Below are 17,432 nucleotides of genomic sequence, written 5' to 3' on the forward strand. Positions count from 1 at the left end.
AAAAAATAAATAAATAATAATAAATTTAAAAGGAAGAAGAAAAGAAAAAGAAAAAATACTATTACATTTTTGTGTATATATTGTCTGTTTGTCAACCCAAAGCAATATACCCAGCTTAGACATCTGTCTTGTTTATTTGATTTAGTGTGCTCTGATTATTGTTATTTCAGAAAAACAAGTTCATCATTCAAAACAATTTGCTGAGGCATTCCTTTTGGATAAGAGATCCTGGTTAATCTGCATTAAAAAGTCAGTCACATTAATAAAGTTTAACGCAGTTCATCTAGTGTCTGAAGTTTCTACAATTTGGAGATTAACATTTGGTGCCTCAATGCAATGACCCTTTCCTGGTTGCTCCTCTGAAAGTTACTGCCTGTAGGTAGAGCGTAGTTGCACTGAAGAGTCATGAAGGACATTTGAATCAATGTCAGTGGAAAAGAATACTGAACATAGAATGTCTGTCGCTCTTGTTTTAAAACATCTCTGTGAGTGACAGGCAGAATAGAGGAATGTATAGAAATTATATAATCTAATTATGTATTTAAAACTTCTTAAACTTTGAAGAGTATTTGAGGAGTTGAGGAAACACCTAAGCTCAAAACTTAATTTATCAGACAGTCAAAGATATTTTCTCACACTGTGTTCTATACTGTCTTAGGTGTATCACAAGCTTTCCTTCCTTATGTTCTCGACAGCATGCCGGATATGAAAGGGTCAGCTAAGATAGTACTATACATTTTTATGTTTATTTTCTCTTTTACATAAGGATATTGTGTAAGGAATCAGATTTTTTTCCCCAATACTCACTTGTTGTTATTTCTTCTCATTTCTTACTGCTGTGTTACGCAGAAATTGCAAATGTTGATATTTTCCATTATACAATGTTATTATGCATCCTGTAAAACTCCACTGTACTCTCATGGGATGTTCAGAATGAATAAGGCTATGAAGTTTCAGTATTATTATGAAAATAGTTTCTATCTTGTGGACCCCTAAAATGCTCTTGGGGACCCACATACATGCTCGGATGACAGATTGAAAGCCACTGTTATAGATACTTTACTAGGAAAAAAGTCCCTTAATAACTAAATGAATATTTTTGCCGTTATTCACTGATATAAATCTAAATTATGGCATAGTTTTATGTGATATAATATATTTTAAAGAAGTAGCTTTGAAAGCAGAACTGCAGCTGCATACCAAAGTTTGCAAATCATCTTGAAAGTCCCTGGATTTCGTTTGGGATGGATATGATTAGACCATTTAGCTCCACAAATTTAAATCATCAAAGAAGTTTTGTGTCTGAAAAAAAAAACAGAAAAATTAATTCCTTTCCTCTGGTTTCTCATCATGTGACTTTGAAAGTATAATTATAACATGTTTGTTATATTTTTGCCCTGGTCTACTAATTTACTTCATTCTAACAGAATCATGACACTATTGTAGAACAGTTTGCCACTGAATGATTTTTCAATTTTTGCTTCTATGAAATTTTATCTTTAACTGGTTAGTATTTTTGTATATATGCATTCATGCATCTATATAGATGAATATTTCTATATTCATATGTTGAAATACATGGAATCCAAAATTCCAAAATGGTAGTGTTTAATTTTCTGTTTTATACAGGATCAAGTTACTGAAAGCACAGACTTTTATCTTATTTAGATGCTGGGTAAGCCATCACTTCAATTCTTCCTATGTCCTTAAGTTCATTTTGGGAGCATAATTACCACATAAACTGAGTTGGAAAGTTTGAGAAAACAAATTGAATTGTCCTTGGCTATATTCTCCATTATTCGATTTTTTTCTTTTCATTTCTATTCTGAAGTTGCCTACTTAGTAAGTACTAACTAGATTTTGTTACAACATTTTATTTTACATAATAATTTATTTGGCTTTTTAGATCTGTGACTCTGCCATATTGATGCCAGATATATTCTATACAACTTTGTTTTGTTTGATTTCATTTTTGTTTTTTTGTTTTGTTTTGTTTTGTTTTTTTTGAGATGGAGTCTCACTCTGTCGCCCAGGCTGGAGTGCAGTGGTGGGATCTCGGCTCACTGCAAGCTCTGCCTCCCGGGTTCACGCCATTCTCCTGCCTCAGCCTCCGGAGTAGCTGGGACCACAGGGGCCCATCACTACACCCGGCTAATTTTTTTTTGTATTTTTAGTAGAGACGGGGTTTCACCATGTTAGCCAGGATGGTCTCGATCTCCTGACCTCGTGATCCGCCAGCCTCGGCCTCCCAAAGTGCTGGGATTACAGGTGTGAGCCACCGTGCCTGGCCTGTTTGATTTCATTTTAAGGATAAGGCAAAAAAAGAAAAGTGGCTAAGCAAGTGGTTAAAAGCTAAGAGGTTAAATATTTCCTTTCAGGTAACTCCAATCTAAGAACATAAATAACAGAAAACAGGAGCCTTTGTTCTGTAACATTTTCAAGAACCAAAAAAACCATGCTTATCAAAATTGGTATAATACAAAAGACACATATTAATTTGATAAGTAATATATGTCGCATGTCATTTATACCTAAATGAAAAAGGTAATAACAAAATATCTAATTTGTGTCCTTCATATAGTAACAGTATTTTAAACTGTGAACCAAAAAAAGTCAACTACGAATTTATTGCCTCCCCTTATGATCAATATGAATATGCCTGCATGTAGCATCAGAAAATACAGCCACTTATTCAATAACTAGAAAACTCTCAAAGGTTCAGTGATTTTAATAATTAATGTTGAATCGACACTTAATGAAAAGTCTAGTACTTTCTACCCATCTATTTCAGAGAGATGAGTAGCATGAACATTTAAACATGTAAAAAACAACTATCCAGGTTTATGTGGTGAAAAATTACAACTATAATTGTGAAGTGGAACACAGGAGCACACAAGTAAAGGCAGAAAAGTAAAATGAGGAATGCAGGCAGTCTGTAGAGAATGCAATTTTATATAGGATCGTCAGAGAAATTGGTAAAATGACACTAGAGCAGAAAATGGGTTTGAATGAAGGAGCAAATACTGAGGCTAAAGAAACATTAATTTTGCTTTCACTAATTTTCAATTGAATAGAATAATTTTAATAATTGCACTGATTCCAAGAGGCCCACCTTGCAGGAAGACAATGTAAGTCATTAGATTAATTATTTAGCTCAGACTAAATGTCAAGCTAATAGTAACTAGTCCTCTTTTTCTATTGGTGATGCATGCCTTTAGTCCCAGCTACTCAGGAGGCTGACGTGGGAGGGTCGCTTGAGCCCAGGAGGTCAGGGCTGCAGTGAGCCTTGATTATGCCATTGCACTTTAGGCTGGGGCAACAGAGTGAGATTTTATCTCAAAACAATTATTAGAATGAATTTAGTATTATTTCTATCATTTCAATTGCAAATTGTCAGTATCCCCTGCTACGTTTCTACTAATTTACCATCGCTTCTTCAAAAAATTGTGTTCAGAGTGCTACAATTTCAGACTTTGAAATGAATCACTATAACTTTTAAAAATTAGAGATTTTAAAAACTGGAGATTGAATATATATAAAAAATACAAAATTTGACATTTAAAACCTCATTGAACTTTTAAAAAAGCCAGACTCATATTAAGGCACACACACACACACACACACACACACACACATATATATATGTATGTATGTATATAGACTTACTCCCCGATGTTTGCATTATTTTTGTAGAAGATAGATATCATACATCAGATTACTTAGTTTTTACACTGTTTCATGAGAGTCCGAAAGTAACATAAGCATTATGAGTTTGTTTTTTATTTCCTGGTTAGCCATTATAATAATTTGGAATATGGAGATTTTCCTGTATTTCAAGTAATGCTTAATCATTTCACATGATGTTGAAAGATCTCAAAAGTTCGAAGAATGAGGTTTTGCTACCTAAAGGATCATTTATCTCTGATCTCTTGTGGCAATCAACATTTGCTGAAACTATTCTCTCAGTGGCGCTGAGATTTGAACTGCTGGGGATAAGACTAGATGCTTCCTTTGGGAGCCTTCTTGGATCACCCTTCACCTTGTTGTCTGCAGTGAATGAATTTTAGTCCTTGACAATACATAGATGCTAAATCTTTTAGCCAAATAATTTATCTCTATAGTTCCACTTTTAACCTGAGAAGCTAATATTTCCCTCCAGGTTAAATACTCAATTACTTGGGTTTACTCAGATAAACTCTCCAAAGTCCTTTGTCACTCTAAATATGACCTGACAAAGCTCAAAAACAGGAAATGTGAATTATAACCAGCAAACCTTTCCTAAATTGGCAGGCAGAGATTTGTACATATAATTACAGAAACATTTGGCAGCTATGTGATATTATGCCTCAATACCCAGAAATTTCAGCAATTACACTCCTTCTCTTTAGAAATCAGAACTTGAAGCCCCGTAACCCATACCGCATGAGCTGACTTCAGTTAAGCTCCTGAAAAATTCAGGCTTTTAGCCACATGTCTCATTGAACTGTCTAAATTCATCGAGCTTAGGGAACTGAATTGCAGAATCTTTCAAGAACAGGGTTACCGTGTGATTCCTCATCTAACTGCTGTATCTAGGCAAAGTGGACAAGGTTTTAGACTCTCAACTAATCCTGGAGTGGAGTTTAGCAGTTATGTAGTGCCTTTTTCCAGAGAATCACTAGCATCTTTACCTGTAGCACTTTATTCATCTCCTTTACCTTTTCTGTAAAACTCTATAGACGTAAATCGAGGTGACACCCATGTGGATATGCAATTTATTCCAAAGTTAGTCTTTCTTTAAGAGTCCAAAATAATTAACATTGAAAATGTCAGCATCCTTGATACTCATGTAGGTTTAAGATAGAAAGTTCAAAGAGCTATGGTCATAAGTCAGCAAAGCTGTTAAGCTGTTAGATAAAACTGAATGTAAAGTCAAATTTTATATAGTCCATGACCCTGTTTTTGAATGACAAGACAGCTGTGCAGAGAGGTTAAGACACCTGGCTAAAATTAAACAGGAAGGTCAAAACTGAGGCCAGAAACCAAGACTCCTGATTCTTATTAAACTTCAGAATCCAAATGGAGCAAATGACTAAACTTACCCTGTACCTCCAGTTATTTAGCTATACATAGATGAGAAGTCAGCACTTGGAGGAACTGGCTGAAGGTTTGGCACTGGAGATGTAAGGAGCAAACATTAGCTTCTGATTCTGTTAAGTTTGAATTGGAAGTCTTTCTGAAATTGAGGTTTTAGATACACTCCATATGCTATGATTCTGGGCTTGCTCCAAGCAACTGGAAGCTTTTCTGAAATACATAAATATATCTTGGGAGCTTACATTAGGATATAGAGACCAGTAAAAGTAAATGCTTCATTTTAAATGTTTAAATATGGTTAAAAAACACATCTTCATAAATAATTGTTATAGTGACTAGCTGAGCTTTTATAATATTCTAAATGCCTAGTGTGGCACATCCCTCTAAAGCATCTACATTTTAAAAATGTCCTTCACATATATAAGCTAGGAAAGCAATTTCTAAACCAGAAAAAAATAACACTCATGCAATATGAGCTTGAATTTGTTAAGGTGGGAGGTGAGAAGGGAAGAGGAATTTTTGTGGTCACAATCAAGAACAGAAATATGCATACGCTCTGTGATGAATTACTTGTAGGAAACTTAGACTCCTATATATTCAATTTATTTTAGTTTGATAGTCTCAGAACTACAGATCCTCAGCTTAAATGCAGCAAGTCTTATTGTAAAGTGTGACTCAGTTAAAATTTATTGCCCCAGCTTCTTCTTTTAACCATATTTCAGAACCAAATTGGGCCCTCAAGGACTCTTATTCGTGTCTCTCTATGCCAATAATGTTTACGTTTTTGTAGCTGTAGACAGTGTTTGCTGTTGGAGCAAGCACTTGTATCTTACTAAAATGCTTGGTTACTTATACCTCCATTTAATAAAAAAATTGATGCTTAATTTATAAAGTTAATTTAAGTTTTACTAGCAAACTTAAATTAACAGGAAGTTATCCTAAAAAAGAAAAAGAAAAGGAAGGAAGATAGGAAAAAAGAAGAAAGGAGAAAATAAAATAAAACATAAAAAAATTCCAGAAGGGATATTATTACATCATCAAAACCCAAGTATTAGGAGATTGGCTCTGGTGAACTTGACCCCTGTTTTTCTATTAGTAAAGGTATAGCCTGTGACAGGGGTATAAAATATCCCTAGAAAGTTGATTTCACTTAGTCAATATAAAATCCCACATAATTTGTAGACCTCATGTGGATTACTTTCCCTTGATGATTGTACAACATTTAAAGCAGTAGTTCGCAAATGGGGATGATTTTGTTCCCCAGAAGATACTTGGTATTGTCTAGAGGCATTTTTGGCTGTCACAACTGGGGAGATGCTAATGTAATCTAGATGACAGCGGCAGAAGTGCTGCTAGATATCCTACAACGCACAGGACAGCCGTCACAGCAAAGAATGATCTCGGGTGAAAGGTCAACAGTGCCCTTCTAGAGAAACCTTGCCTACAAGGTTCCCATCATGTGCAAAGAATGGGAGTGGGGATCAAATGTTTCTCTCAGGTACTTTCTATTTTTTCCTGTCCATATTGGACTGCAAGATGCATGGGACAATATAGACTACACCATTTGTGAAAAAATGTGCAACAGACTAGCCATCTGTTATCAGGCCTCCTAGAATGTGAAACTTCAAGCTATCACAAACATAATGCAACAAATCATAAGTCTTGTGTGCCTGTTAAAATTTCATTTTCATTTGGTTTCAATTAAACACTTAAATTACTTACCACCCTCCACCCCAGGCTCTAAATTTCAAACATAGCCACTTTAGTTGTGATGTTCTATTTTCATTTTATTAAGACATCATGGAGTAAAATCATACATAGATGTATATCTCTAGAAGATAAATATATCAGATATTTTAGTCAGTATATAAGTCTTACCCTTGTGTAATTTTTTTAATGTTTTAACATTTTACTTAGCCTCATTCTACAAAGGGGTAACGTCCATGTGTGTAGACTAAAATTATTTTTTAATTAATTGTATTTTTAGGTTGGTGAAGTAGCTACAACATTAATATTGAAGCAGTTGATGTAGAATGTGTATTGTTTATGGAGTCAAATGAAAATCTTTATAGCATTCTACGAACTCTAAAACACATAATCCATACAACATCCTGTGACATATTTTTGTAATTCTACAGATACTCTAAAAAAGTTGATGCTCAGTGAATCTTATACTAACTATCGTTGTGGAGTTCTTAAAATGTATTAATGTAACAACACTATTAAATAGTAGCATAAGAAAAAAGAGGACATTAGAAAGCAGTATGATTTAAGAAAATAAACTATTATGTTTATATTGGCTCATTCACATTCACATATATTATGAAAAACTAGATTTAACTCATTATCAACTGAAAATGAACTGCACCTTTAAAATGCACAAAATTATCAGAAATCTTTAGAAAAATCTACTTTCCCAGGTCCACAAAATAAATCATTATTCTCACTTGACAGAACAACGTGCTTTTTTGCAAGCAACAAAGTTTTGTAAACAGCAGAGGTAGAAAATAAGACATACTTTAAACTGGGGGAATACAGTGGTGAAGGGGGCCAGGTGGTTATTCCTCTGGACATCCCAGATTAGGCAGGATAATAAAGCAGTAGAAAGATCACAGAGGATGGAATGACCAACTCTTGCTGGAAGACTCCTAAATGTTCACCCAAAGAGTTTACATTTGACCAAGATGTTCAGATAAGAACTTTACCCAGTTACAGAAAAAAGGAAAAAAAGCCTCCCAAAAAGAAAGACCATGTATTTGGGAAGATAGCATGCTCACAGGGGGAATTCAATTAAGATCAGTGAGCATCTGTTGAATGCCTGCACTGCACATTTGCCAAGATAATACCAAGATAATACTACAGAGAGCAAGAAAACTGCTCTCTGTAGTGAATGTGTATTGTTTATGGAGAACATAGTTTCATGTGAGTTAATACTCCTTATCTTCAGCTTTATAATCTATTCAGTTTTTCATAAGCTTATGATTTGAAATAATGGTTCGGGTTTACTATTTTTATTTGTTGCAATTGATATGACAGGCACTACTGCTACTACTTTTACTAGTGTAGAACATAAAGAGTTTGAAACTACAATGAAGAATTTAAAGAGTTTATGAGAATGTATGTATCTATCTTTTCTTAAATTCCATAATAATTTTGCTCGTTTGAAATTTCACCTGTAGTTTGATTTTTTTTTTTACTTCAAATTAAATGTGTACAATGTTGGTTTATTATTCTTTTATTTTTAAAGCCAGAGCAATTTGATATTATTTGCTTGCCATAGAATAAGATAATTTTTAAAAATTTCTTTTTATCTGATTTAGTATTAATTGCTAAATTTGAATTGTACTTTGTAGTTAACAGTGAGCTTTCCCTTGTAGCATCTTTTAATAAATTTGTTATATTGACAGTAAATGTAACAATTAAAGGGAATTGAAAGGAAGGAACAGGCATAACATTTATTGAATGCTCTATTAAGGAGCAGACACTTTTTAAATGGCTTTATATATATTATAAATTCATGACAAATGACAAAATTTTCTAAATAATAATATATAATTCTCAATCATCTTTATTCTCTTCCTGTTTCCCTCAATGATGGATGGCATCATTTACAATATGGTTAGATAGAAAAGAGATAAGAGTCTTGAATCTGTGATTATTTCATTATTGGAGCTAAACTAATCCGTCTAATAAGCTACCTATTAGCAGATAATGGAAATTCTCTAATGAAAAGGCTAAATGTTTCATGAATATTGAATACATTCTGGGCTAAACAGCTAACTCTTGGCCAGGTGCGATGGCTCACACCTGTGTAACACCAGCACTTTGGTAGGTGGAGGTGGGAAAATGACTTGAGGCCAAGAGTTAGAGACTAGCCTGACCAACATGGCAAAACCTTGTCTCTATCAAAAATCCAAATATTAGCCAGGCTTGGTGGCGCACACCTCTAATCCCAGCTACTAAGGAGGCTGAGGCACAAGAATTGCTTGAGCCTGAGAGGGGGAGGTTGCAGTGAGCCGAGAACGCACTGCACCACCGCATTCCAGACCTAACTGTCTATGGACTTCAACACTAAAATTGGGCAAAGCAAATCACTTATTCACATCTTCTTCTAAAGAAAGAGTTTAAATTAGCCCCAGCTCTTCTTTTAGACTGAGTTGTTTGGATATCATATATAAAAATATAAATTAAGAGTTTTTCATTAAAAATAAAAATAAATATGTTTACTTCTAAGTATATAAGCTCAATTAACTGTGACCTGGGACAGAATCTGGCCAGCGAGGAAAAGAACTGGTACACCAAAAGTTGATCAATAGTAGTATCTGGATAAATTACGGAAACATTTAAAGCACTGCACCCTGGTTTCATTGTTGAACTGATTGAATGCCACTTAATTTTTGAGTGTTTGTAATAACATGTCCAAAATAAAATGAAAATAAATGAGATTGCCCCACTTCCTTATGCTTTCCCACAAGGGCAGCAACTGAACCCTTGATATAGTTAAGAGACAAAAAGGAAAAGTGTAAATCAAAAACCTGAATGACACAAGTGAAAAGACCATACCTACATTTCCAAAGCTAGCAAAACTTGTAGCAAGAGGCCTTTGCCATTTCACAGGTATCTACTGCACAATGTGGCCAAGATACTTTTCCAAGGTACCACAGTGAGCTAAGAGCCAGAATATTTTGTTAAAAATTAGTACGAAGGTAAAGATAGTATAAAGGTCACCTGATCAGCAAGTATGTTACATTGAAAGGTTTAAAGTTGTCATTCTAACAATAATATGTGTGTGTGTGTGTGCAGGCTACAACAATTACAAAACACAACCAGAAGAGCAGAATTGAAAATTTAAGTTTTTCTTATTAAAATAAATTACTATACATTTTTCCAAACATGCATCCCATTTGTTTAAATTTTAAGCATTTTAATAAGATTTACACAGGTTACACAAATAGACCACATGTAATTGGGAAATATTCTGGAAATAATTTGCTTGAATCTGTAACCATGTATTTCATTAGAGAACATACTGTATAAGTCCCAGGCAAGTTAAGAGATTCAGGTGAGTGAAGCTTTCCTTGAAGATATGATCATGCGACCACAGCAGATACCTCTCCAACATTATTATGTCTGTATTTACAACAGAGCAAAAGAGGATTCTCCTTCCAAGCTTAAGCAGAAATATGGCTCTGTTCTTCCTAAAAATGATCACCTTTCAGTATATCATTATTTTAAGAAATTCTATTAATCTCAATGCTCTTCTCTCTGGAAAATGGTGAAGAAACACTTAAAATGAAACAACTCTTCTGTGTTTCTTTTTAACCCTGATTGAATTAACCAAATAAATACACTTCTCTTTCATGGCTGTCATCAACCTATTGTTTTTTTCTTATGACTCTATTTTAATTTCAACTAGAGACCATGGTAAGGCAACAAATATCTGGGCCTAATATTTTCTAAATAGGTACAAAGTTTTCAGCATAGAAAGGGCTTTTTTTTTTCTTTTTTCTTTTTTTTAGTGCCATTTAAGTACACTTCACAATTTCAGTATTACTGAAAGTATACTGACATGATCCTTTCAGTATAAGTATACTTATATACCTTCAGTAATACTGAAAGTATACTTATACGCTTTCAGTAATTTGGTTCTGGAAAAAGAGAAGTAGCAAAGGCAGTTAGAAAAATGACAAGTGTCTATAACAGACCTAAGATATTTAATTGAGATTTTTAAGATACTGTACCTCCCTTGTCCTATGAATACAGCTCTGTTTGACTTTTGTTAATTCTCTGAGTTCTTAAGAAGGAGAAAGTAGGCCCAATGATTCCATTTGGCATCCTGAGTAGATTCTGTTCAATGCCACATGTCTAAGTCCACTTTTGTCGATGTCAAGGGGTAGTATTTGAAATTTTGAATTATAAAAACATAAACTTGATCTAGGCATATGTAGATGAGTGCTTTGGGAGTTTTAGTGCACGTTGCACACTGTAGTTTATCTCCCTAACTTCCGAGGCTATCTTTTCTCTGGCTCCGGTCTCTCCAATTTCATTTGTTTTACTTCATCAGTAGAAACTGTCAACTATTCTTCACCTGGTAGCTTCTTAGGAAGGTTGCGCTCACTGTGTGTCTTTGCAGGCTTATTCTTCCTGCTGATGGTGTTTTTCCATTTCCTCAATTCTCTGCACTGTTTCTTGCATTCTTCATGACTGTGTAAGCTCTACCTTTTCAAAGAGCTTCTGGCAGTACTCTCCCTGAACAGCTCATTTGTGCCAAAACACCAAGGAGAAGTGCTCAGTTTTACTGAGTTAGTTCCAATCTTATCACTCTCCTAGCCAGGATAAAGTTTCCCAAGTGCATCTGTGATTAAATAAAAATTTGACATTTTAGCTTCCTCTTCCATTATATTTCTTCACACAGGAAACTGTTCTTCTAGAACATACAGTTTTCTCCTCTGTGCTTTGATTTATGCCATTTGCTCAGAATATGAGAGTATTGAGCTAACATTTATTGAGTCCTTACTATGTCCTAGGAAGAAGACTAAATATTTTACTGAAATTTGTCGTTTAGTCCCACATAAATACTCTGAACCAGGACTATTACATTCTCAATAACAGATGAGGACAGTCCTGCACAACAAGGCTTAGAAACTTGTCCCCTAAATTGCTAATCCATTTGTGTAAAGCACTATATTGCCCCCTTGAGCATCACTTCAAATCCAGTGGCATGCTATGAGGTCCGATAGAAATCGGTCACATTTTGACGAACACGGCTTAAGATTTTGAGGATGTGAGTTCTTTCTTTGAAATATCCATCCCTTTTTTCTTATATCAAATATTGTACTTATCTTTCAAGTGACTTCACTTGAAATTGAGGTCACTTAATTCATAAGTGCCCTCCTCAGTCTCTCTAGTGAGAATCTTGGCTCCACGTTCCACATTACGGTGGCTTTCACTACTGTCTTTCTACTCAGGGTAAGTTCCATGGACCAGCATCACATGGAGATTGTTGGAAATGCAGACACTGGCTACACACTCAACCTCCTGAATCAAAATTTTCATTTTACTGGGAGTAAGCTGTATATGATTTATATGCATTATAAAGTTTGAAAAGCAATGTGCTAGATACCTATTTCGTTCTGTATCTAGTTTTTCAGAGTAACTCATTATTACTCCTGTTTGCCTGACACTTACGAAACAAAAGAGCCAGTATGTTATTTATCAGTTTCACCCAAATTAACTAGCATAATACTTCCTATATGGTTGACAATCAGTACATCTTTATTAAATGTATTTATTGAACTAAGAGCAAATTCCATAGACATTACACTTTTATATCTCCCATAACTTATAAAAGCAATATTATTTTCCTCTAAATTATAAGTTCTGGGAATGTAATTATTATGTCTATCTAATTTATATGGTGCTTGCCTACTATCCAGAAGACACTTCAATGACTAATGATGAAGCACACAGTAAATTAATCAAGATGATTATTGTGTTGAAGAGAGTTTTTTAAAATATAATTTTATTTTGAGTTTATTTAGGTAACAAACACCTGTAAGTACTTATGTGCCAGGGAGTGGTCTAAGTTCTTTACAAATACTGACTTATTCACATTCTGAACTTCGATTGCTTGGTCAAGCATAAATCTAGGTTAAATCAATAAAAGTTGATTTGTGATACCTCTTTTAATTCTAATACATGTCATGTCACATCTGCTTCAGGTTGTTTTGTTGCAGATGATTAATTAACCTGCCATAGTTGATATAAAATGTCAATATTTAAGCAATTTTCTTTTTTATATATAATTTCAAAATCCTTCCAAATTATTTGGAAGTAAAATTTGCTGTAAATGGTATGCTACTTCTGCTTGGTATTGAAATAGAATAACATCAAAATGTTTCACAGAAATGCATATTCCATTTCAGAACAGAAATACTATGAGAAATTCTGTCCGGTTTCAGATTATGTTATGTATATTATATGTTCTATGCATTGCTGATTTATGTAGACATGATTTTATATTCAAAGGGAGGGAAGATCCCAATCAGGTGGACATCACCAGAAGCTATAGCCTACCGCAAGTTCACGTCAGCCAGCGATGTATGGAGTTATGGGATTGTTCTCTGGGAGGTGATGTCTTATGGAGAGAGACCATACTGGGAGATGTCCAATCAGGATGTAAGTATTTGTGGTCTATGAGTTATGAGTTCAGATGAAAAGATCAAGCTGTGCAAGGAAGTGGAACATAATGTAACTGGGTGGCTCCTGGTTTATAACACTGAAATAAAATATTTAGCAGCAATGAAACTGTTTCCAAGTCTTGCAAGGATATTATATTAATTGAATTGTTCTTACAGATTTACATATTTCCCTCAAGCAAGGGTTTAGAAATAAGACAAAAGAAACATTTGTAGTGAAAACGTAATGAAAAAAGTGACCAATAAGATAACCTCTAGATTCTAATGCACATTGAAGTTTGAAAGTCACTGCTTTACACCATTGAAAAGTACTAATGAACTAATAGTTACTTAATTTTACAGCACTTAGGATTTTACAAAAAAAATTACTATAATTTGGAAGGCACCATTTGAACTGCAGTATAACTAAAACCTGTATAGTAATTTTGTCCATATTCATTCATATATGTTTTCCATAGAGAACTATATAACCAAATAATAATTTCTTTATAACACCAAATTTGCTCTATCATTTAACATTTCTTTTTATTTTAACCCAAAAAGGATCTTTACATACTCTTTCCTAAATTTATGTTATTTCAATCTTCCTTTATATAATATTTTAGGCATACATAACGTCTTATTTATTTGATCAGTTGTTATCCTTTTAGGCAACTAAAAATGAGAAGTTTTCCCACTTACCTTTAAAATAAGCATATTTGTGAGCCCCGCCCATGAAAACGTAAACTAAGTGACACTTCCTGAAAACTTCCTGGTTCCTGAAAACTTTGCTTCTCACACAGGTAATTAAAGCTGTAGATGAGGGCTATCGACTGCCACCCCCCATGGACTGCCCAGCTGCCTTGTATCAGCTGATGCTGGACTGCTGGCAGAAAGACAGGAACAACAGACCCAAGTTTGAGCAGATTGTTAGTATTCTGGACAAGCTTATCCGGAATCCCGGCAGCCTGAAGATCATCACCAGTGCAGCCGCAAGGTGACACATTCAATTTGTTATCTGGCATTCACTCTGAAATTTGTGTTTGCTATCTCCAAGATGTTAATTTTTTTAGCCCACCCCCAAAATGCATTATTTGAAGCTTGTATTCCACCATATTAGAGAGATGTATTTCCCCTTTCTTTTTTAATCTTTAGAACTAATTCTCGTCCTCCTTAATAGTAATGATGAAATTCTGAGATATTTTTTAACATCTATCTTGACTCTACATTCAGGCTTGTTTAAGTCTTTGGGAAATAGGAATACTGGAGGGGTGCGGTGGCTCGTGCCTGTAATCCAAGCACTTTGGTGGATCACTTGAGGTCAGGAGTTCGAGACCAGCCTGGCCAACATAGTGAAATGCCGTTTCTACTAAAAATACAAAAATTAGCCTGGTGTGGTGGCAGGCACCTGTAATCCTAGCTACTCGGGAGGCTGAGGCAGGAGAATCTGTGAACCTGGGAGGCAGAGGTTGCAACGAGCTGATATCATGCCACTGCACTCCAGCCTGGTCAACAGAGCGAGACTCTCTCTCTAAATAAATAAATATACTGAACACATACTTCTTTTCACCCTTCATGAATAAAGAAGTCCTGATTCATCTTTCATTCAAAATAAAGAAAAAGAAATTATCCAAAATATTGCACTGGCTAGCAAAATGCAAATTTTCCCCAGTTAATTAAACAAATATTTGTCTAGTCTATATTGCGTATCAATTACTTTGCTAGACACCATTGAAGATAAAACTAAGAGTAAGATAAAGCCAGTGTCCCTGGACAACAACACAAATGTTAATACTCTGCAGCTGTAATGCAATCCTGGATGCACAAAGTCTATTTAATTTTATGCATATTCTTTTAGGTTAAGAATCACTGAGTTCTCTCAGTGGTTAGAACAATGTAAATTAAAGTGTATCTACAAAGTACAGTGGAAAAAAGAAGGAAGAAGAGATGAATTTTGTCAGGGGCCATATAAGAAGAAAATAAATATTAATATATTTGGTGCCTCTCAGAGTAATTAAAGGCAAAGATATCTTGTTTAATAATTTTGATTCTCATTGTAAGCATAAGAAAAAAAGGTTCTTTTACATTTTGATAATGCATTCTCTTACAGGCTTTTAATTTTTCTCTCTGATTTATCACATGAGTTAGTACATGTTTTATACTTTTGAAACATTCCTCTTGACAACTATAGAGAGAAGCATTTCAGACCTATTTGGGACCTCTAGCTATGTGCCTACTCAATGGCTTGGACTTGTGAGTTCAATAGTATCTTGATTGGTACAATGGAGTTTTATCAGTAACGATGACTTGTGGGTCATTCTGCCTTCTTTGCATAACCAGTTGCTTCTCAATATCGCTTCTCAACTGTGTTAGTTTTGGGTCTCAATAATAGTATCCCGCCCTGTTGTTTCCATTGCTACAAAGCTTAGTGACTAAAGCTGGCGTTCAATGCATGGGAAATTCCTTGCATTTTGTCTTAAGTTATCTGTTTGAAGATCAAGCAGGGCGTGTGTGTGTGTGTGTGTGTGTGTGTTTGTGTGTGTGTGTGTTGGTGAGTGAATATGTAGGTACATTACAAGTTTGATTAACCATGCCTTAGTATCATATTTTTGTGAAAAAAATCAATCATATTTAAAACAATATTTTAAGATGTCTAAAATCAATGCCCCTGAAATCCACAGGGAATAAAATAGCAAAATTTTAACATATAAACGTTTTTTATCCATTCTTCTGTCAGTGGATACCTATGTTGATTTCATATCTTGGCTATTGTGAATAATGCTGCAATGAACATGGGAATATAGATATCTCTTTGAAATACTGACTTCATTTCCTTTGGCTATATACCCAGAGTGGGATTGCTGGATCATATGGTGATTCTATTTTTAGTTTTTTGTGGAACCTCCATACATTTTTCCATATGGCTGTTCCAATTTACATTCCCTTACATGCCAATGTTCCCTTTCTCCACATCTTCACTAACAGTTGTTATCTTTTGACTTTTTGATAATAGCCATCCTAACAAGTGTGAGGTTCTAGCTCATTGTGGTTTTGATTTTCATTTCTCTAATGACTAGCGATGTTGAGTACCTTTACATAAACCTGTTGGCCATTTGTCTTCCTCAGAAAAAAATGTCTATTCAGGTCCTTTGCCCATTTTTAATAGGGGTATTATTATTTTTGCTATCAAATTCTATGAGTTCCTTATATATTTTGGATATTAGCCACCTATGAGATATATTGACTGTAAATATTTTCTCTTCTTCTGTGGATTGCCTTTCATTTTCTTGTTTTCTTTACTGTGCAGAAAATTTTTAATTTGATATAATCCCTCCTGTTTAATTTGGCTTTTGTTCCTATGATTTTGGTGTCATCTCTACAAAATTGTTACCAAGACCAGTGTCATAGAGCTTTCTTCCTGTATTTCCTGCTAGAAGCTTTACAGTATTAGGTCTTCAGTTTATCCATTTTGTGTTGATTATATTAAATGCACATTACCTGTTTTTTACATAATAGTTTAATAAGTTAAGTAGGAGAATCATAAACAAGATCTTAATATCAGTATATAAGAATCATAGATTATTTATTGATAATAACACTTAGTAGGAATCACTATGATTGAATTTAGTAATAAGTCCTTAAATAAAACTACCCATAACTTATTCCATAAGGATAAATATCTATCCCAAACTTCACAGAGACTGTATAGACTCTTAGAAATTCACCTGACAGTTTAACAACTAACAGGATAACAAACCTGTCCTTTCCTGGGCCATATGGTCCTCATTCTGTACCCTGAAGGCATTTATTTTGATCTTTACAGCATAGATAGTAATCACAGAAAAAAAAAGACTTTACCTATCATAAAAACATTCAAACCATTTTCAAAGCTAACTCATGTAATGTAATGTAATGTAGGGGTATCTAATACCAGTTTCACAGAGAAAAGTAGTCTTACTATCAGATCATAATATGTGAGGCTATGTCCTAGCATCCAAATTTTAACATACTTTCATAATTCACTTTTCCACTCTTATTGAAATATATCAAATACTTTTTCTTATATATTTTTCTTTAATACATGAACTAATTTGATGTATTTTGTCATAAAACATAATTTTAGAAAAAAATCAATATTTTCTATGAAAAGACAACCATCTCAATGTACAGAATATAAAC

General features: G+C 34.2%; 1 protein-coding gene across 4 annotated transcripts in view; it reads left to right on the top strand.

Annotated features, from left to right (window-relative positions):
• EPHA3 (EPH receptor A3) overlaps positions 1-17,432 on the top strand; it is a 374,514-nt gene that overhangs the window by 328,500 nt on the left and 28,582 nt on the right. For all 4 annotated transcript variants that reach the window (NM_005233.6, NM_001410778.1, XM_005264715.4 and 1 more), the window contains exons 14-15: positions 13,105-13,254; positions 14,057-14,250. In NM_005233.6, coding sequence (NP_005224.2) covers positions 13,105-13,254; positions 14,057-14,250 — 344 coding nt within the window. The remainder of the gene's footprint in view (positions 1-13,104; positions 13,255-14,056; positions 14,251-17,432) is intronic.

Source organism: Homo sapiens, chromosome 3 (assembly GCF_000001405.40).
Source record: "Homo sapiens chromosome 3, GRCh38.p14 Primary Assembly".
NCBI classification, from domain to species: Eukaryota; Metazoa; Chordata; class Mammalia; order Primates; family Hominidae; genus Homo; species Homo sapiens.